The 23,164-nt window shown below is 36.4% G+C and overlaps 1 protein-coding gene and 1 long non-coding RNA gene across 4 annotated transcripts in view; one reads left to right on the forward strand and one right to left on the reverse strand.

Annotated features, from left to right (window-relative positions):
* LOC105375144 (uncharacterized) overlaps positions 1 to 15,383 on the reverse strand; it is a 67,939-nt gene extending 52,556 nt beyond the window's left edge. For 2 of the 3 annotated variants that reach the window (XR_001745084.2, XR_927017.4), the window contains exon 1: positions 10,143 to 10,228. This is a non-coding gene — a long non-coding RNA (uncharacterized LOC105375144). Of the gene's footprint in view, positions 1 to 10,142; positions 10,229 to 15,304 lie in introns of those variants that run through there. The other variant, XR_007060208.1, reaches the window with a different exon arrangement.
* Positions 1 to 23,164, forward strand: part of NXPH1 (neurexophilin 1) — a 319,353-nt gene that overhangs the window by 183,472 nt on the left and 112,717 nt on the right. The window lies entirely within an intron of this gene.

Below are 23,164 nucleotides of genomic sequence, written 5' to 3' on the forward strand. Positions count from 1 at the left end.
AATTGTTGGGGGAAAGGGGATGTCTACTGGCATCTATTGAGTAGAGGCCAGGGATGCTGGAAACCATCCTACAATGCGCAGAACACTCTCCAATTATCCAGTCCCAATGTCAATGGTGTTGAGATTGAGAAACTTTGTTTTAGAGGTAAACTCAAGAACTCTCTTCATGAGGTACAAACTCAGAACTTGCTGTTGGAGTAGACATGGGAGTTGAGAAAGTGGGTATTTCCTATAAAAGAAAGGAAATCAGTATATCAAAGAGATATTTGCACTCCTATGTTTGTTGCATCACTGTTTACAATAGCTAAGATTTGGATGCAACCTAAGTGTCCATCAACAGATGAATGAATAAAGAAAATGTGATATATATATACAATGGAGTACTATTCAGCCATAAAAAAGAAGGAGATCCAGTCATATGCAACAACACAGGTGGAACTGGAGATCGTTACATTAAGTGAAATAAGCCAGGCACAGAAAGACAAACCTTGCATGTTCTCATTTATTTGTGGGATCTAAAAATCAAAACAATTGAACTAGTGGACATAGAGAGTAGAATGGATCAGAGGCTGGGAAAGATAGTGGGGAGATTGGGGGAACATAGCAGAGGTACAAAAAATAGAAAGAACAAATAAAACCTACTATTTGATAGAACAACAGGGTGACTATAGTCAATAATAACGTAATTGTACGTTTTAAAACAACTTAAAGAGTATAATGGGATTGTTTGTAATTTAAAGGATAAATGCTTGAGGGGATGGGTACCCCATTCTCAATGATATGCTTATTTCACATTGCATGCTTGTGTTAAAATATCTCATGTACTCCCATAAATATATACACCTATGTACCCACGACAATTAAAGTTTTTAAAAAGCAAGTGGGTACATCTCATGTAACCCAAAATATATACATCTATTATGTACCCACAAAAGTTAAAAATTTTTTAAAAGTAAATTAAAAAAACTTCCAGATTTGGGGCATGGGTAACTAAACTGATGAGTGTCACTCGCCGCAGGGTTCTTCTGCCCATAAGGAATTATGATTTCTGTCCAACCTACATCTTTTCTTTGATGTTAACAACACTAACCAAAAGGGTAGAATGGATACTCATGTTTGTACTTTATGATCTGGGCATTTTGGGATCTATTTTATGGTATTAGCATGGAGGTTAGGAAATACAACATTTAATTTGATATTTTCACTCAATTATCTGATGCCACTGATTCATCTGACTGTATTCATACAGCTGACATCTGTGGCACTAATTCTCAGAGCTGGCTTCATCAAAATAGCCATTGAATGCATCTTTTAGGGAGCATCAACACTGTGCTAAGAAAATCTTGGATGTTTAGCCAATGAGCGTAAAGGTAATTAAATATTTTATTAACTTTGTATATAAGAGCTCAAAGCACTTTCACATACATTTTTCCTTCATACTCTTTATGTGCTTGTATTGGCAGAAAGAGGACAAAGTAGCTGTATTGCATTATAGCACAAACTTTCAGGCAATGAGACATTCCTGAGGCTTAAATTTCACTTGCAAACTAGGAGAAGAGGTGGAAAAAAGGAATCAGAATTTACCCTTTTGCTAATGCATTGTTTCCTTAGAAATGTAATCACTGCATCATTCTTTCATTTTGAGAGCCTTCTGAGATTATACAAGATATTTAATCCAATATCTTTATATGTTGAATCTGCATAAGAAGAACTGGAGAATGTGTGTTCTTTTTTATTTTATTTGTTTGAATGTATGCTAAACACACTCTACAGAATTCAAGGAATGCTAATTATGTGTGCTGCAATTGAAGTTATCTGGACCCAGTTTTTTTCTCTTTTGCTGCTGCATTTTTCATGGCAAGAATCTGGTAGAAGATGAAAATTATAAAATTGAAATCTTTTCAGTTTGTGTGTTACTATTTTTAAGCAGGAAAAGTTTAGTATGTACAAAAGAGATGGTTTCAGTGAATTCCTGTGACATTAATGTGCTATTTTCTCTCTCTAAGAAGGAAGTTGAGAACTTGAGCTTGATTTTAGGATTATGTCTGCCCTGGTACCCTTGGCGAACGTTTCTGCTTTTGCCATGTGTTCCTGGCATAGTTTTGAGGTGGCGTGCATTTTGAAGGGGCACTGATTTGTGTTTGAAAGAAATTAGGTCCTCTGTAATAGTCAGCAATCCCTGTCTTATCTCCTTGGTTCAGATTGGCCTCTAATCTTCTATTACCTCCAGTTAACTTCTGCAGTCTGCTTCTATTCTCTTGTTAACATTTGTTGCTGCATCTGGGATGAAGCTTATAATTATGTGTCCATTGCCAACTCTTTACTAGAGTTTTGGTTAATCCAGGTCTTATTTTGTTTATGTTTGCTTAAGCAAATGATGTTCAATGCTCTTTCAGATATCCTTTAAAGTAATGGGATCAATAATTTAAGCCTTTATAAGTATGCATATCCTGGCTAACCTCATTTTACCCATGTGTCTGTACTGTCAGTTATATTTACATTGAGCAACCTCACTGACTCTTGTGGATTTATTTAACTATGAAGCAAAATAATAGTTATAAATTCAGTATGAGAAAGTATTACAGATATCATGTCTTATCTTATTCTCCAGCGTATTTTTTAAGTGGGAAACTGAGTCCCAGAGAAAAGGAATAATTCTCTGCATTTGTAATAACACTCTGTAGTTTACAAAATATACTAATACCATTATTTCATATGATGTTTTCAGTAATTCTGTGAGGTGTGCTAGGAAGGCATTATTATCTCTATTTTACAACAAGGAAGAAAAGATGTAGAGAAATTGAGACTTGCTTCCTCAACTACCTACAACAAGTATGTGGTAAATCTGGATCTAAAATCCAAGACTTAAGGCTGTTAACCAAGTGTCCTTTCCCAAATATGATCTTGGCTCATGAGCAGAGTTTTTCCATCCACGTACTGCTGTGCTGTAATGTGTTGAGATACTGACTCTCTCAGCACTTAGAGCTGCCAGAGTAGCCGTTGACCTCTAGTCACAAGGATCCTTCTCACCTCAGTGCAACACAGAACTACTATTATCTTCTGTGTACCTCGACATTGAAAAAACACAGAAGCACAGTTCTAACATATAATGGAAAAAGACCTGATTAAGTCACTCAGTGAGTTTATTGAAAGATTACTAGGTGCCTAACAGTCCTGGGAATGTTTTCACAGTCTGCATTCATCCACCTCTGATACTCATATATATTTACCTCCAAGGAACCTCCCCTTCCTACCGACAGTTTGTGTGGTTCCAGGAAGCCAGCTGACAACAATTCTGACCCAGGTTAAAGATGTGGGCCTCAGTAAGCCTCTGTGCTGCCTCTTCTTGTCATGGTGATTAGTTCAAGGGGAATTATGGAATTCACCCAGAGCCAACCAGATCTCATGAGACTGTGACTTTTGGGCAAAAGAATATTGCTACTGTTCTGTAACAGACTCTGGAAGCATGCAGGCTGAGGCTGCTGCCACCAGCCTGACTCCTCATGTAGCTTAAGATTGAAGCCAATGCTGGAATTAAGGAGATCTGAGAGAGAAACTGAGCCCCGCTGATACCATTTGATGTCAAGCTGACAAAAAAGCTGAAGCTAATTCTACGCTTTAGAATTATACGAACCAATACATTTCTCCTTTCCTTAAAATGATTAGATGAAGTTACCGTCACTAAAAATCATCTGTATTCTTTCATAAATGGTTAAAAATTCTAATTTGTCACTTTAAAGGCCTCATGGGGACAAGGACGATTTAGAAATGGATGTTCCAATTTGATCTGATCTCTTCCAGGTTGTATGTTTTTCTTCTCCCTTTGAAAAGGTAATTCATAACCTATGAATAAAAACGCTCTCTCTATAAACTTTCACACAATCTAAAGGTGTTTTTGTCATAGTCAGTTGCCTATATTAATTCATCAAATAATTATTGTTATGACACTGAGGTAGGCTGGGGAAGAAGACATCATCTTTGCTGTCAAAAAATTTATAATTTAGTTGGTAGAAAAAACATGTTATAATGGAAAGAAAATTAAATTTAATTAATGTATATAACTAAATCTGATGTGAGTGTCACTGGAGTAGGTCAAAAGAGGACAAGGTGCCATAGATTCAAAAGTGATAGTCACCATGAAAGAGAGAACTGGAGTCAAATCTTTAGGATTTGGGCAGGTGACCAGGAAGAAGTCTGTCCAGGAGCTGCAGCATAGCACAGACAAAGACTCAGACAGGAAAGAATGGTGTTTGAGGAAGGTAGTGACTCAACAAGATGGGTTGCAGCAGAGGAGTTAGGGTGAGCAACAGGATAGCTTGGAAATTTCCATCTTTGACTTTTGAGAAGAACTTTGGGACAAAGCTCTTTGCTTAAGATTGGTATTGAGAAACAATAACATGCTAGCCACTCTTTTTTTTTTTTTTGAGGTGAAGTTTCACTCTTGTTGCCCAGGCTGGAGTGTGATGGCACGATCTTGGCTCACTGCAACCTCCACCTCCTGGGTTCAAGCGATTCTCTTGCCTCAGCCTCCCGAGTAGCTGGGATTACAGGCGTCTGGCACCACGCCGGCTAATTTTTGTATTTTAGTAGAGACAGGGTTTCACCATGTTGACAAGGCTAGTCTCAAACTCCTGACCTCAGGTGATCCACCTGCCTTGGCCTCCCAAGGTGCTGGGATTCAACTCTTTATTGAGCACTTACTACATACATGACATTAGGTTAAAACTTCACATGCATTATCTCACTTAATAATAATAACTTTCAGGTAGGTATTATTGTACCTACCAACCAACCCTGTAAGTGGATGAGGCAGAATGAACCAAGGACAGTCTGCCTCTGAAGACCGTGCAGTTGCTCTGGCCATGAAATTCCATCTGTCTAAGATGAACAGAGCAGTCACTTTGCACATGTCATGTAAGTTTATAATGGTCCTCTGCACATTTCGGTGAGTATTGGTATTTTTGGCAAGTTTAATATTCGGAGTTACTACTAGCAAATTCTTAGAATTACTAGATTTCAGGCATTTAGAAAGCCTCTATTTTACCATGAAATTCATTGTTATTTATTCTACACTTAAAGCAAGGGAGTGAAATCTCATAAATTAGATTGAAGTAATAATTATTAAGAACATCACAACTTCTAGGGATTGAATTAAAGTATTTGCATTATTATTTCATTTTTCCCCAACAGATTGTGAATGAGGATGTTGTTATTCCCTTTGTATAGACAATAAGACTGCGATCAAAAGTATTTAAGTAGCTTATACAAGGGCATATAATTAGTGTGAGCAGAGCTGTGACTTGAATTCAGGTCCTTCAATTATAAGTCTAGTTCTTTCCCAACTACATTAGTCTATAAGTGGCCAAAAAGTACATATGAAACTTGGCATTTTATATGTATTGGAGTTACATTAGACCTTAAGTGGCCATAGAGTAACAAATGAGACTTGGCATTTGTGTTTACTACTAGTGAGTGTGAAAAGCCTAAGTAATTATCAAATACGAGGGATAATTTGACAAAGTTAAGTCTCATTCAAACTGAAAGTTTGAATTTTCCATTTGTCTGGTTATTCTATGATTTGTCAACAAGTCAGGATAACAAATATTTATTGAATACCAATTTATTAGGTAAAAGTATATGCTAATGTAAAAAGAACTTTGTGCAAACGCTACACTAATGGAATAGAAAATATGGTTGAGGACAAGGCGAAAACCTATACAGTACAAGTGCGAGTAATCTCTGAGAAACGATTAAATGAATATTTTGAGGTGGGACATAACTAATATATCATAGGAATATTAAGGACTATGAGTGCAGAGGAAGAAAATATTTGTAGCTGCTGGAGTGGTCTTGGGAAATGTTAACATGAAATTTATTGTTATTAATGAAGGAAGTATTTGAACTACTCCTTGAGGGGAGGACTTGGAGAAATCAGAAAGAGCAAAAGCAGAGTGGTAAGGAAGTATGTGGTGTGCTCCAGGGAGCAGTTTGTCCAGAACCAATATTTAAATACAGGGTAAAATCACAGAAGTGGGTCAGGGCCAGCTTGAGGAAGTCTTAAAGAAAAACTAAGAGGCCTGAATTTAATGATGCAGGAGGGATTGCAGTGCAGGGCTCTGCAGGTGCAGAGGAGTGGAGACAGGGAAGACTCTGGGAGACGAATTAAAACAGGAGAAGAGTAGAGACAAAGGTTCATTTGTTATAGAAAATACTGGGGAAATTGGATGAAATAACTAACACAAACTACAAAGTGATTGGAACAGGTCAGGTCCCCACAAGTTAAAGGGGGAAGAATAAATAGATAAATGGCATTTCAAGTAAACAATCAGACAAATTTAATTTATCTGACATTCTGTAACACAAAGTAAACTGTCATGAAAACTAAATACTTGAGAGAAAAATTAAAAAGATAAAAGAAACAGAGTAATTAACTACAAACACAACTTGTAAACTGTGATCGAATCATAGTTAACAAACAAAAAACCAAAAGCTGGGGGACTAGCAGAGAGATTTGAATATAGACTGGATTTTAGGTAATATTAATGAACTGTCAATTTTTAGTTTTGATAATAATTTTGTGGTATAGTAAGAAAAAGTTCTTATTTTTAAGAGATATATACTGAGAAGTCTCATATGTGCCTTTTATTGTCAATTTTTTTCTGCAAAATATATGTATATGCATATGTGTATTTTTATTTGTATTCTATCTGTATCTATATTTACATGTAAACCTTTTCTATGGCTTTGTATGTATTTATATCTACATTCATACTCAGACCCATACTCATAGTCACCCCATCCCTATCTCTGTATATGTAGCTAGATCCAGATATGGATCTAGAAGAAGTATATGTGACATAATGTTAAAAAATTTTTGAATCTAGTTTATGGATGTACAGATGAGCAACGTGCTATTCTTATAATTTTTTGGTGTGTTCAAGATTTTTATAATAATAATTGAGCTAGAGGGAAGGGGGATAAATAGGTCAGGACTTGGAGCCTAAAGGAGAAGCAGTGTGAGTGGAAAGGAGGAGCAGATGTGCAGTGATAATTGGTAGCACAGGGTGAGTTTTTTAACCCAAAGCATCAGAGGAGCCTCTTAGGTATGAGTTTTGGCATTAAGGCCTTACTGATTGGCTGTGGCCACATTTTGAATAAGGGCAGGAATGTCTTTAGAGAAAGTAAGTTTGAGGGAGAGAATGTACTTGTTTTCAGATGGGTTTTGTTTCCAGTGAATATGAGCTTTCCAATTGAACCTTGTTGGAGGAAGGTTGTCCAGACTCTGAGAAGATCAGAGCTAGAGATGCCAATTCCATAGTCAGACACAGCAGATGGCAGTCGAAATCATGAAATTGGATGAAAATTATGAGTAAAGAAGTGTGCAAAAGGAAAACTGAGAAAAACCCTAAGAAATGCCCATATTTAGGTGGTGGAAAGAAAAAGTGAGGAGAGCAAAGCAGACAAAGCAGGCCAAACCAGAAGGGAAAAGATAGTGTCATGTGGAGAAGTGGAGGGAGCACACAGCCCATGGTGAACACACCATGCATCTTTTTGAATGAATGAATGAATGGAGTTGTACAAAAGAGTGAGGGTCATTAAAGTAAAGATAAAGAGAACAGTAAAGACAATTGCAGAGTGAATGAAAGGCATTTGGGATTAGGAGTTGAGAGGTTATTTTAAACTCAGACTAAAGGTTTGGTGGAGGCTGTTGCAATGGTTCATTGTGGAAGCAAAAGCCAGCACGAGAAAGTGGGGAAGCTGAGTAGTAGAGGGCTCCTCAGTGCAGTTTGGGGATAGGAAGACCTGGATTCAAGTCATGACTCTTAACTCTATAACTGCCTTCCCTGGGCTTCAGTTGTCTATTTCCCTAAAAAAGTGGGGTAGGCTAAGTGATGTCCAACATTTCTTAAAGCACTCACATTCCACTGGCCCTTCAGCTGTTTTAAAATATATATTTAGAGAAGACTGTCCCAATCCATATTGTAGTGTCATTTTCAGCTTCCTATGTGTCACAGTTGCTTTGACTATAGAGTCCCTATGTAGAAATAGAATTATCCTATTCTTTTTTTGGCAACCTCACTGATTTACAATGAAATTATTGGAATGGTCAATAGATACATCCATATAGCATTTTGACATAAGCAAAATGTAACTTGACTGAATAGTAAAATAATACTGTAATTTTTTATTTCCAATTTCAAAGATTATTTTAAAGAACTGAGGAGATGATATATTATGTTGCTATGCATTGGCAATTTCTGGTAGGAAGTTAGGGGGAAGATCAACTCAAATTCTGAAACTTTACTCCATTATAAACTTTTCTACATCCTATTAGTTCCAAATATGCAGAAAGGGATTGTGCAGATGATACCATTCTGCTTAAATGACAAACCTGGAATGATGAATGCTTTTCCTGGTCAATTAACCCCTGCCAAAGCTCTCAGTGACTAAAAGAAATGCTGTGGAACACAGTCTCAAGTAGACTATAAAATATACAATTAGAGGTCTTCTGAAGAGGATAGTGTTCCATTAGAAATCTACCAGCTCCTTTTAACTCTATGGGTCCCTATTTCTCAGAACTTTTACCAGAGGTTTGTTCAGAAACTGGCTCATCACCAGTTTTCTTAACAAAGCTTTCAGATCTTTGTTATCACACAAAGAGATAAAGAGTCTGAAATCCTCCTTATGATTCAGGCATCATCTGTTATCCTAGATCAATGTCAAGCTAAAGATTTTTGGAAAGGATTTTGGCAAAGTGTAATTGTAGATTAACCCCACAGCCTTCCATTAGATAAATGGCATAATGGGAAGTTTCAAACAATGAGTCAGAGGACTGGGCTCTGATCTTGAGAAAGCTGATTTTCTCTATGACCTTCAATTAGTTATATAATCTTTTTGTCTGTGAATCTTTTATCTAATCTGTGATATATGGTAACTACTTTTTTGTTTGTTGGTTGAGGACTATAGGAAATACAAGATGTTATTTTTTCTCATATGTTGGGAAGACCCATTCTTTCTGCATTTCTTCTAAGGGACCTCTTTCTCCTTAAGCACGTGGACTTCACTGGCAAACAAAGGATGTATTTAACCTGATGAGGAAAGTCAATTCTGAAAAAAAAAAGAACATTTTAATAAGGAAAGTGCTGGTAGTGACCTCATATTGAGTGTAATGAAGCATGGTTGGATATACATCATAAATTATGCATCTTTGGGCCTTAGTCTATTCCAAACTGCAACTTTGTTGAACCTCATGGACTATAATTCTGATGTGTCAGTGGGATATACTCATTGTCATGCAGTTTACTTTTTTTTTTTTTTTGGCAACTTCAAATACTTACCTTACTCCAGATCTAACTTTCTGCTGAGGGTAGCTTGCCACCCACCTTGGATTCCATTACTTTCTCACTGCCATGAGGGACTCCTTTCCAAGCACTTGAATTTTCATTTTTTTTCTTTTAAATTACTCCTTACAATGACTGATAAGAGATAGGATTCATTAGCACACTTTGCTAGTACTTTGTGCTAATATTACACTGAAGTCAGGTCATATGAAATCAAAGTGTTCTTTAATTGTCCATTTTGCACATTCAACATGTTGCATATGGCCCTTCAGGATCTGGTCCTTGATAATGTCTTCTACTATTTTTAAGGCATATTTCACTCTGATTTTATGCCTTAATAACAGTAAAGTAGTAATTTCTCCCATGCGATGTGGTGTTTATCACCTGCAAGCCATTATCCATGCTTCTCTTATTCTTGGGACACTTTTTCTGGGCACTCTGCCTACTTACCTTCTATTCTTCCTATACACCTCTGCTCAGACTCCCTCTTTACCAGGGTCTTTTTCCTGACATCCTCATTCCTTTAAGCATAAGGACAAAGAGCCTCTCTGGGTGTTCTTTGAATATCCTGTGAACGCCTCTGACTTTATGCCCCCACCTTGTTTATATTTCTGTTTATGTCTATTATATTAATTAGACAATGATATTCTGCAGATCATTCCAATACCCAGCCCAGTGCTTGGCACACAGTAAATGGCTAATATACATTTAAGTGAATTGGCCTACTTGGAAGAAGAAAAAGATTCAGATTAGTGGCCATTTTTATGTATATTTGATGTCCAGCAACTATTATTTACATACCTGGGAACTCATGCATGACCTCGGGCAAGGTAACAAGGGAATGCTCATTCGGTAAATGAGGCAGAATAAAAAACTACTTGTTAGTCTAGAAATTAAGGCCATATATAGATAGGCAAGTCTATATGGGAGGAGAAAAGAACTCAGGGGAAATAGGTAATGAAATAAGCCTCTTAAATATGCAATGTTCTTCAGTTAATATCTCATATAAAACAAAGAAAAGACTTCCAAGCCTTCAATATTCTAAGTTGCCATGGCAGCAGCACCATCACTCTTGGCTCTTTGAGTAGTAGGATCGCAGGGGGAGAAAGGCCTGACACTAGTAGGCAGAATGCCAAGGGGCTGGGAGAGGTTACTGAAGCATTTTATTACTGACACTGAAGAAATGATTATAGATCATGAAGCAGGAGAACCTACCATACCGTGGCAATGAGATTCATTGGTTTCCAGAGAGTTGCATTTTGACTTTTAAAAGGAGATTTTAAAAAATGATAGTCAAATTGCACTTCAATGGATTAAAAAAAATAACCATTTTAAAAGCAGAAGGGTAGAAGCTGCTAGAGAGTGTATTCAAATCCATGCTTCTTAGCAACCAGACCAGATTTCATCCATAAAAGAAAGCCAGAGGTACAATAAAAAAAGCCTCTTTGGTTCTCTAGAGAATATAAAGGCATATTAGAAAAAAAGAAGCACTTTGAGATCTGTGGATAAAAGGCACTATATGGGCATAAAGTATATTACAAAAAGAGAAGGACAAGGAAGAAGTGATGTCTAGACTGGGCAGGTTATCTTGGGTACGTATGAGAATAATTGCCAAAGTCAAAATGAGAGATCATGACAACTAGAATCATTAGAGTGTTCAGAAGTTAGTATTATTTTAAAACATAACAGATATATATTTTTTCCTGAATCAAAGCAAAATAAATGTAAAGGGAAAATAGAGAATATGTGGATTACTTAGTAACTACATACTATTTCCTCAAAAGATTTTCACAGTGAAGAGAAATGAAAAAGTGCAAAGAAAAAACGTCACTAACATGTTACAGAGTTTGATGTTATCTATCTTCGAAGTTTCAGTGAAATTCTACACAGTAATTGATTCTTTCTGATTCAGCCAAGTAGGAAACATTAGAACATTTTATGCATAGGTGTTTTTTTTTTTTTTTAGATAATGTATGGTTAGAAGAGTCATCACAAACAAAAAAGCAAAAACCAAACTAAACCAAAAACCCAAACCCAACAACAATCAAACATTTAAGAGGAAAGTCAGGGACAAGAATGTAGTTTCTGGTGATAGGATAAGAAAAATTACAAGTTAAACTAGAACTCTCATTTTCTCTAAATTAAGCCAGCCCTTTTTGTGTATGTATAAAAAAAAAAGAACTGGGGGGTATGAAAGAAATGATTCTTTTCATGTACTATAATCAATGCAGAGATTATCTTCAGGAAGATTCAACAATGTTCTTGAGTGGTATACAAAAAGCCTGATGTATTTGAAAGAAAATAAATATAAATGAATGTTTTCTGGATAAATGAAGAAGCAAAGCTTGGAAGTAGAATGTGTAAATTTAGCAGAGATTTGACGCGTATGTTTGAACAGACGGTGGTGCAGTTGTTCTCGTCCGAGGTTATTTTATGAAAGCTGCATTTTCCCTTGAAGCCAGACCCCGTATGGGGTTGAGATGACGAAAGCCTCATGTATCTCACTATCATTAGGCTAATGAGATTGGTCAAGGCCACAGGCATTCTAGATCTTGGCAAAATTTAAGATAAATCTAGTAAATTCTTCTAATAGCTTTGTGCTGTTTTTGGAAAGAAGGAGAAAGATAAGAAATGAATAAAAACAAATTTTCGAATACAAAAGATTCCATTTCTGAAATACTGTTCCATTATGAAAATGATTGATATTAAGATAGATTATTTACCCCCATTGTTATAAAATTTTATGGTCACAGAAATAATTTAAACCAGGTATTTGTAAAAAATCCAATATGTAAACACAAATATTAGGAACATTTGTTTTTTAAGCATTCCCTTTGTACCCAAAACTTTCCAGTTTTTATAGTGAAGAGTTTTGAAAATTATGGTGGATGGACATTGAAAATGGGTTAGTTTAGCTGTGAAAAAGTTTATTTTTGAGCTGAGACCAACTGTTGGAAATTATAGACAATTTGTAACTACTAAGAAAAGTGAATTGGTGGGAGCCATAATGAATGCTTTCTGATAGGAGGCTTATAATGACTTACATGCAGTTGGGGGAGATATTTCATTTAAAATCTTTGGGCAGGTTTTCATAGCTAGTTAAAAATAATGCAAACTGATTTTAAGTTTGGTGTGTTAATATTACAAGCTGTTATGTATATAAGTCATCGAGATTACTAAAATTGCTCTTTATATTGGTAGGAAATAACTCCATAGTATTGTCTGTAAAGTAGAGGCCACTGGGTGAAAAATGCTTTGATTGCTGTCCAAACGCTGAAGTTATAATACAGTGCAGAGCAACGCCCAATAATAAATGGAAGTACCATCTGCAGTATATTACAAATGAGTCACTTTAAAGCCTTGTGTGGGACTTTTTAAAACACAGTTGTAGCTGCACAAAGTAAAGTGGGGAGTTTAGAAATTGCCTGGTGCTTTTATCAGCTCAAGCAGCTACTATAGATAATTTAGGTCCTACAACCTTTTGCCTCTGTGAGAATTAGATATTCTTGGCCTGAATAGCTTATATATAGCTTTAAGTTCATATATCTCTTGATTTGGTTGTACTGTGCTAAAGAGGCCAAGATGGGTGGATTGGTGAACATTTTACTCCCCCACATTTCACCCTTGGGTCTTAAGAAAAAAGCATACTATTAATTTTGCCAGAATAACTTCTGTTGTAAGGCATACTGATGGTTGTTCAGACGCATCACGTTGACATAATACTATGATAATAGATGCCATCAGAGGGTGACATTCTAGTTCTGGGTCCTGTGCTTCATTAAGAGACTTCACCTGGAAAGTTTTTCCTACTAAGACATGTTCTAAGATATAATAATTAAATTATTATTGAATTTAATTCAATCCAATACTGAAAAACTAATTGAAGAATTAAAACTGTACAGTGTTTTATAATGTCTCACTATTCTCAAGATATTTAATGATACATTTTATGTCCAGGATTGGATATTGTTTCAGGTGCAATGCTTCCTCATGGGAGCTCCCAAGTTGCAATACATTCCCACCAGTGCTCCCCATGCTGACCAAAGGAAAACAACAGCAAAGATTTTGAGGAAGTAATGCAAACAGAACTAAAGACAGTTGGCATAACATTTATAAAAATGTTCTACAAGCATATACGTAATAAAATCCATCATTCAACATTCTAAGTTGTCATTTTACGAGGAAAAGAAACATGCCCAATGTAATTAAAACTACTGAACTTTTATGTCTTGAGTTTTTCAGTTCTCTTGTTGCCTTTGATACTACTGAGCCAAAGTCAAACTATTGAAGATTATGCATAATTTGACTTCACTTTATTGTTTGAAATTACAAATGCTGGGTTTTTTCTCCTTTTTTAACTTTTAACCTTTAAGTTCAGGGGTATAAGTTCAGGTTTGTTAAATAAATAAACTTGTGTCATGGGAGTTTGTTGTACAGGATATTTCATCACCAGGCATTAAGCCTAGTACCCATCAGTTATTTTTCCTGATCCTCTCCCTCCTTTCACCCTCCACCCTCTGAAAGGCCTCAGTATGTGTTGTTCCCCTCTATGTGTTCATGTGTTCTCATCATCTAGTTCCCACTTATAAGTGAGAACATGTGGTATTTGGTTTTCTGTTCCTGTGTTAGTTTGCTAAGGATAATGGCCTCTAGTGCCATGTATGTCCCTGCAAAGGACATGACCTCATTCTTCTTTTATGGCTGCATAGTATTCTATGGTTTATATGTACCACATTTTCTTTATCCAGTCTATCATTGATGGGCATTTAGGTTAATTCCATAGTTTTGTTATCATGAATAGTGCTGTAATAAACATACATGTGCATGCGTCTTTATAATAGAATGAAAATTAACTCAAGATGGATTAAAGACTTAAATGTAAAATCCCAAGCTGTAAAAACCTGGAAGACATCCTAGGCAATACCATTCAGGACATAGGGATCGGGAAAGATTTCATGATGAAGATGCCAAAAGCAATGGCAACAAAATCAAAAATTGACAAATGGAATCTAATTAAACTAAAGAGCTGCACAGCAAAATAAACTATCAGCAGAGTAAACAGATAACCTTCAGAATGGGGGAAATTTTTTGTAAACTATGCATCCAACAAAGGTCTAATATCCAGCATCTATAAGGTTTTTTTTTCTAGTATGGTGCTAATAATAGGATTAGCACTTTTCAACTTTTATTTTTGACAGCTTTGTTGATTTGTTTTATTCTTAGTATGTCCACGAAATGACCACTTAAAGGATTTTAACAGTTTTCGGTCACCACAATGTTGATAGCACTTGCAGGTGCTGTGGTCAACATCCAGAAAGCCATGGATTATTGGATATTCCAGGTGTCAATCCATTTAATTCTATTCTATTCTTTAATTTCTAACATTCTCTTATTAGAAGCAAGTTATACCTTAGAAGTGTTGTTAGGACACAGCACTAAAAACTATAATTCCAATTTCCATGTGTCTTTATTTTATTTCAAATGTATTTGATCAAGATGAGTATTACATTTTTGTAATAATAAATGTCCTCAGTTTTCTGGTCTGAAGGAGGACACCATTATTCATGTGTAGGTTATAGGGTATTCTTTACTGTGCCTGAGATAGCTAAAATATTGATAAAGATTTAGAGATTCCTGTAAGTTCAGCTTTGAGACCTTATGTCTGCCATTCAGGGAGCGTCCATCAGATGGCTGTGGTAACTTGAAAATTGCCATATACTTCCTTTTCTCTCCAGGGGCTGAGTGTTTACTAATAATTAAAATTTTCTTCCTCCAATTAATTTATTTAAAATAAATATATTGAATTAAGAAAATCTTATGATGACTAACCAACTAATTTTAGCTTGAAGCAAGATTGAAGATTTAAAACATCTCATGGCTTTTCCAGCAGTAGTTTTCTATCAATATTTTATACGTTGATTGCAATTTACTTCTATATTGGCATTCTTGATTCCATTGCTTACCTGTTTACATTCAAGTAGATGTATAACTTTATGTCTTTGGCTCTTTTTCTCTGGTAGCCTCATTTCTGACTACTTCGAGGGTTGCTTGGCAGTGGTGAGTGGGAAATCAGTCACTTTAAGGGTTATCCTTTGATTTTTCTCACTTATATGCTTAGCGGCTAGTCTTGTCTATTTCCCAAATGCAGCAACTGGCACAGTGACTGGAGCATGGAATCTGTTCTTATCGCCTTATGATTCTTCTGAATTAGAAAGCATTCTCCTCAAAGATGGCAGCTGTGTGGCTAGCTTTCTCCTTGTAAGTTAATATACTGTTGCCTTAACTTACTCTCAAATTTCCCCTCCCATGAGAATTTCCGTGGTGTAGAGCTGTAATTGTAAAGTAGGGCTTCTAAGGCCCCTAGAAATATTGTAGTTTGTTAGAAGATTTTGAATATATCTTTCTAGAATTTTATTGAACCACAGTCTACTTAGATGAGCATTCTAATAATCAAGTACCTAGTGAAAAGGAAACATGACAAATATATTTTTGGGGCAGATTATTTACTGCTCTGTGCATTATTACATCACTTCAGCCACAAGAGTATGGATGATTCTTTTTCAAATTGTAATTAATTCATGTGTTGAGAATGTGGGAAACTACTTCATGAAATTTTACAAATATTATCAGTGATGCATCCATGTGCTTCTACATGCAACCAAACTCACATAAAATCAATTAATAATGAAGTTAATACAACCATAATGTATCATTAAAATAAAAGTAACAGGCCGGGCATGGTGGCTCACGCCTGTAATCCCGTCACTTTGGGAGGATGAGGCAGGTGGATTACGAGGTCAGGAGATGGAGGCCATCCTGGCTAACATGGTGAAACACTGTGTCTACTAAAAATACAAAAAGCCGGATGTGGTGGCATGCGCCTGTAATCCCAGCTACTCAGGAGGCTGAGGCAGGGGAATCACTTGAACCCAGGAGGCGGAGATTGCAGTGAGCCAAGATCGTGCCACTGTAGCCTAGAGACAGAGCGAGAGTCCATCTCAAAAAAGACATCCTTGTTGATGATCTCACAATAGAGTTTCCTTCTTTAGAATTATGCGGATGTGAAAGCGCACACACATTGTACTACAGTGTTGCGTGACAACCGAATTTCTCAGTAGAATACTGAATTTCAGCCTCAGTAAGCTCTAATGATCTTCTAACATTCATTTATAAAACCCAAACTTTAGAAACACTTAACAAACCACTCAACAGGATGTTTAGTAACGTTTAACAATTTGCAAAAAATAATTGCCAATTACCCAGAAGACCTGAAAAAAGAATTCGTAATTTTTATACAGCCCATGGTTCATCAAGCTGAACCTTGCATGAGCTGACAACAATGCATGTTTGACAGTCTCTCTTGAGTTGAACCCTCTTTTTGTGGATGACAAAACTGAGGTCTGCGGAAGGAAGGTTCTTGTCAGTTGTAGTAAAGTTAAATATTTTTCAATTTTTTGTGTGAAGTATTTGCTTAAGAATTTGAAGTCCAGGTTATATGCTGGGCCAGTTTCCTTATTTATGAAAACACCTTTGCTTAAGAGCATCTGTAAATAGAGATTTCTTCCTATTATGGGGTCATTTATTCCATTATAGGGTAATTCTGATTGTTTGAAAGTTGAGTCTGATGTGAGGCTGAAATCGAATCTGTCTCATGACAATTTCTATTTATTTTTTCATTTCCTGGTGATGTCGTTTAGCTGTGTCCCCACTCAAATCTCATCTTGAACTGTAGCTCCCATAATCCCCACGTATCATGGGAGAGACCCGGTGGTACGTAATTGAATCATGGGGGCGGGTTTTCCCATGCTGTTCTCATGATAGTGAATATCTCATGAGAACTGATGGTTTCATAAAGGGCGGTTCCCCTGCACATGTTCTCTTGCCTGCAGCCATGTAAGAGGTGCCTATGCTCCTCCTTCACCTTCCACCATGATTGTGAGGTCTCCCCAGCCATGTGGAACTGGGAGTCCATTTTTACTTAGTAAATTTAATTTACTTTGTAAATTAAGTCTTTTACTTTGTAAATTACCTAGTCTTGGGTATTTCTTCAAAGCAGTGTGAAAATAGACTAATACACCTGGATAATGATAAGGTTTGTTTTGTTTTGCTATCATACTCATCTGAGTGTTTCAGGCCTATGATATGGCCAGATTTGCATTAACTTACAAAGCAAGAGGTATAAAATTCTTTGGAGTGAGTTCTTTCTTCTGCAGTTATCTGCATGGTAGAGATTGTCCAGAAGAGTTTTTTTTTTTTTTTTTTTTTTTTTTTTTTCCAAAGAGCAGCCTCACTTCACCATGTGATTTGCTTTGAGATGGAAATGGCCCAGGAAATGATAGGGTTTATATCTATCTTCTTACTTAATAGGAAAGCATGCAGATGTAAAGAACTCCTCTCTGCCCCAAATCTCTGATAATTTCCCCAAGAATAAGTATTGAGAACTCCAGAATTCAGATGTTTCAACTCCTTCACAAGACACTTTTAAAGTACTTGAATAATAATTTCTGTATAACTTTCTGCTGTGTGTAGAAATGACTCTTTTGCTTCTCACCATTGACATATTACTGGAAGTGCAAACAACATTTGATGATGTAGCTATAATACTGGGAGTTTTGAACAATAGCTATCTCTAATCACATTTGTCAAAAGCAGACTAGAGATCTTACCTGTCTGAAGTTGTCAACCCGTAGGCCATTTTTCTAGAGGCAACCTAAAGTGCTGAATAAGATTTGCAAGTGGAAAAAAATGCTATGTCACCGAGGTAGAGGTAAGCTTGGAGCCCAAGTACTGTGCATAATTCTTCAAAGGTTATGAGAATGACAGCTATTAGCAGGCTGAAGGCACAATTCTTTAAGAACTAACACACAGCAGTCTTTGTTGCCTTTTGCCCTAAAATCTCACATCACATTCTATTTGGTTAGACAGCTATTGAACTCAAAAGAACTTCAGAGTTTCTTTCAAGTTTCTTTTCCTACCTTTCTCTTTTTAGTGGTATAAATGCATTCAATCTCTTGGGCACCCTTTGAATTATTTTATTAAATTCTGCAAGATCTTAGTGATTGGTTTCTGGTATTTCCTCCATTATCAAGACCACTGCTAAATCTTAAGGGCAATGTTATGGGTATAGAAAAAAGAAAATAAAGATGCATCAAGATAGATATGTTAGATAGAGAACCATCACTCAATTACCTGCCAGAACGTTGGAGAGTGACTGTGATGACACCGGGTCTAAAAGCATTTGAAATATTTAAAAAGAAATGTAATAACAGATCAACCCCCTATAGAAATCGTATTTTATTCTACTGAATTGTTTCTTGGAAGCATTTACGTCTTTAACCAATGGAAAGATGAAACAGCTTTTTTTCTTTTTTTGACAATTAAAAAAGTTTGGTCCAACTGAATTTAGAATATATACACTTGGATAGTTTGCCCATTTGTTTCAGCTAACTGGTAGGGTTTTTAAATGTGTACTAATTGTACCTCCTATTTATAGAAAAAAAGTGCTGTTCTTTGAGAGAGAGAAAGAATCCAGGAAATATGATGCTTAAAGGTAATGTCTTTCACTACACCCACTGAAGGTCACTTTATCTATCCAAGGGTAAAGTTTTTCTTTCTCTCTTTTATTTTTATTGAAGTTGGACTGCAGCCTGCATAGACTTTCTTTTTCCTTTAAAGATATCGTTTTCCGCCTAATTGTGCCCAGCTTCATTTATACCCTGAAAAGGATTGTGTTTGTGCTTACATACTCAGGAGACTCTTTCACTCAATAGCCAAACTCCAGCAACAGCCCTCTGGGATATTTGAGTAAATGTAAGTGAAAGTTCCCTGTGTTTGTCTCTGTGTTCTTTTTAAACAAAAGTTTAACTCAGGGCACCGTGGGCATATTTAAAGAAATTTATCTGTAGAACTGTCTTCCAGCTAAGATCTGAAAAATACATTTTGGCCTGCAAAAGTGTTCATCAGTCAGCAGAATTTCCAGTAATGCCTCTTGTATTTTCAAGCCACTTTCTCCCCATATTAATAGGTAAAAGAACTAGCAGCACATGCCTACAGCCCATAATGATGTGCCTTTAAAACTTTCTGTGAGAACTTAGCAAAGGATTAAAAAGGAAAGGGCAAACCAAGGATAGCAAATTGATTCAATTCCAGTGGAATGCCAATTCCAGTCATTTAGTGAGTATGGCATCCCATGCAAGCTAAGGGGAATCATGAGGATGCAGTCAGTAGGAAAGCATGCTGTGATTGATTTGATTTTGCCATGGGCATGGGAAGGCAAATGATGACATACGTTACACACGTATTCCACGTCTGGCTTAATCTTCAACATCAGGTTTGTATAGTCCTACAAATTACCTGTTTGGGTTTCTGAGCTACATCATTCATATTCTGTTAATTTGGGATTCTTACTTCCAAATGAATATGAAGATTTGTATTGGATTTCTTTAACTAGTGAAATGTTCAAATCTGAGCAATAATTGAAGGTTCAGTAACAGGCCAGCTTTGCTTGCTTGGTCTTCCAGTTCTAGATCTAGGGACATTGCTTTGATATTTATGACCATAACCTACTTTAAGCAGCCTAGCTTCATCTCCTTGAGAGCCCTGTGCATGGTACAAAAATCCTTTTGTGTACATTTTGTCCTTTTTCTTCCTGGGAGCAGAATCATGGTACTGCCTATAGACATGTGGTCAGCCTTTACACTTAAATCAAGAAAATGGCAGGACCTTTGTCTTTTGTACAACTGTAAACATTTGAATGTCCCTTACACTTCATATTTCTCATCTTGCTCACTGCTGGGACTGACTCTTTTTTTTTTTTTGAGAGAGAGGGCCTGGCTTTTTAAACCAGACTGGAGTTCAGTGGTGCAATCATGGCTCACTGTAGCCTCGACCTCCTGGGCACAAGTGATTCTCCTACACCAGCTTCTTCAGTAGCTGGGACCACAGGCTCGTGCCACCATGCCTGGCTAATTTAAAAAAGTATTTTTTAGAGATGGGGTTTCAGTATGTTGCCCAGGCTGGTCTTGAATTCCTGGGCTCAAGCAATCCACTCCGTCAGCCTCCCAAAGCGCTGGGGATTACAGGTGTCAGCTACCGCACCTGGCCAAGAGACTGACTCTTATTTCCTGTTCTGGTCAGTGAGGCTGGGCTGTCCCTGATTAACCTGCTTTTACATGATCTAATTGGCCACACTAACAGCTCCTTTTTATTTTTAGATGCTGTGTTTAGATTTTTGTTTTGATTCAGAAATAAATTTTAGGCTTTGAGCTACTTTGGCCTTTATTAATTTGTGCAATGAACTCACAATACAATACATGCTCTTCAGCTTCATTGAATTTGTTGTTTACACAGAGATTGATATTTTTCTTACATAAGTGGTTTAAGTCAGGAAATAAATAACTTATTCAACTGGGTAAATATATTAATAAGAAGGACTTTGGTGATACGATTTAAAGCAAATCAAAGAAATTTATTTTAAATGTGCTCCTGGTTTTTAAAAACATGCACTGAATAAGCTGAGCCCATACCTGGAATAGGAATCCAAGTCTAGACTATCAAATTAAATAAAACAAACTCCTCCAAAAATAAAAAGTCAGCTAAAGAAAATTGGAGAATTGAATATAAAAATGGATGTGGTGCAGGTGGCCATTACTTTGAACAGAAAAAACTCCAGCTTGTAGCGACAGAGATGAAGAACCTGGAGAGGAGAATGCTGATCTACTAAAGCAGATGGTCCAAACAAACACGAGCTAGGAAAACAAAGCAGAAAGTCTGGGAGAAGAGCCAACATCTACAATGGACTAATAAAAGCGAACAAACACCTCGGCAACCACATCCGACAGCTAGGAACCTGAATTGGCACTGCTCAGCTCATTGTTTTGGGCATATCAGAAAAAGCAGAGGGACCACCAGCCCGTAGATGCTCCCATTCACTGCGGGCCAACAACCACTGGGGAGAATTAGAATCCTCCTGGTGCCAGGAAACCTCTTGAAGTTTGCATATTACCACAGCTAGTGCTATTCTCATTCAAATATACCAGTAAACCAAGGAATTGTGTAAGATATTATATTAAAAAGTTGTAATCCACAGTAGAAAGCTTTAAAGAAAGAGAATGGTGAGAACGAAGGAATGCCTTATTTAAGGATTGATTGTTGTATTTTTCATAAGTAGTTGTGTTTTTAGTTAGATAACAAACACTTAGAGGGGCTTTTAAGAGGGAGAGAGAAGAGCAAGGAATTCAAAAATTCTTTTCTTTGTCCATGCAGTGCTGTGCATATTAATTTGGTGAATGATTATTGTGTTTAATGTTTCAATAGTATGATTTTAACAATGGATCCTATAGTTAATTCTGTATAATAATTTGTAATATAACCCATCTTGGCTGCATTATTTTTTACCCACTGCACTTTACTGCTCGTATTTTACAATCACAACATAGTGGTTACGATCTTTGGGGACAGCTAGACCTTGGCTTGAATTACCTACTTCACTTACTCTTTGACTATTGAGAGGTTTAAGTTCCTTGACCTCTCCAACCCTCAGTTTCCTCAACTCCAAGCTGAAGATAATAACATTTAATGAAACATATATTGAAACTATGAAATGAAATGTATAAAAAGTGCTTAGTTTTTGGCATAGGGCAAGCAGTCGATTACTGGTAGCTATCAACTTGTTTTTCTGTCAGTGCCAAATAAAATTGATAACAGAATTACTAAAAAATCATATAAACTAATAAGGAAATCTTTAATAACCAACTAATAATAGAATTAGTATTTTGAGACTTCTGACCTTCCTAATACCACATTATCAAACTTCAGATCTGTCTAGAACTATTTTAATTTGGAAAAAAAATAGTCTGATAGCTGCCTCTATATGGGCAAATGGAGATACAAGGAATTCTCCAGAGAATGTGTAGTCAAACAGATTTTCACATCTTGATTCCAGACACTACAAACAAAAGGCATGAACATTTACTTTAGATAGATACAGCCACATTGTCCTCTAAAAGAGTACTTATTTACATAGCTACCATCGGTGTAAAAGAAAAAAAAAAGGCTGTTTCTCTATATACTTTCAAATTTTTGCCGATTTGTTGGCTGAAAAGTTGTACCTTGTTATTTTCATTGACATTTTCTTAATTATTAGTGAGGCTGAGCATCTTTTTATAAGTTATTGGCTACTTACCTAGTGATATGGTTTGGCTGTGTCCCCCACCCAAATCTTAACTTGAATTGTATCTCCCAGAATTCCCACGTATTGTGGGAGGGACCCAGGGGGAGGTGGTTGAATCATGGGGGTCCATCTTTCCCATGCTGTTCTCATGATTGTGAATAAGTTCTCATGAGATCTGATGGGTTTATCAGGGGTTTCCACTTTCACTTCTTCCTCATTTTTCTTTTGCCCCGGCCATGTAAGAAGTGCCTTTCGCCTTCACCATGATTCTGAGGCCTGCCTAGTCATGTGAAACTGTAAGACCAATTAAACGTCTTTTTGTTCTCAGTTTCAGGTATGTTGTTATTAGCAGCATGAAAACGAACTAATAAACCTAGCTTCTGTTAATTGGTTGATCTTATAGTTTGACAACTTTTCTACTCAATTATTTGTGTTTTTCTTATTGATTTATAGGAACTCTATACATATTTTAATTCATAATGTATATTGCAAATCCATATTCCCATCCACTACCTGCCTTTTAATTTTTGGTTGTTTTACTCCATAGGAATTATTACTATTTATGTCAGTGTACATCTTTTTCTGTAAGGCCTTTGGGCTTCATATCTAACTTACGAAGATTTCAAATTCAAAGAGAAATCTGTATTTTAAA

The sequence above is a fragment of the Homo sapiens genome, chromosome 7 (genome assembly GCF_000001405.40).
Source record: "Homo sapiens chromosome 7, GRCh38.p14 Primary Assembly".
NCBI classification, from domain to species: Eukaryota; Metazoa; Chordata; class Mammalia; order Primates; family Hominidae; genus Homo; species Homo sapiens.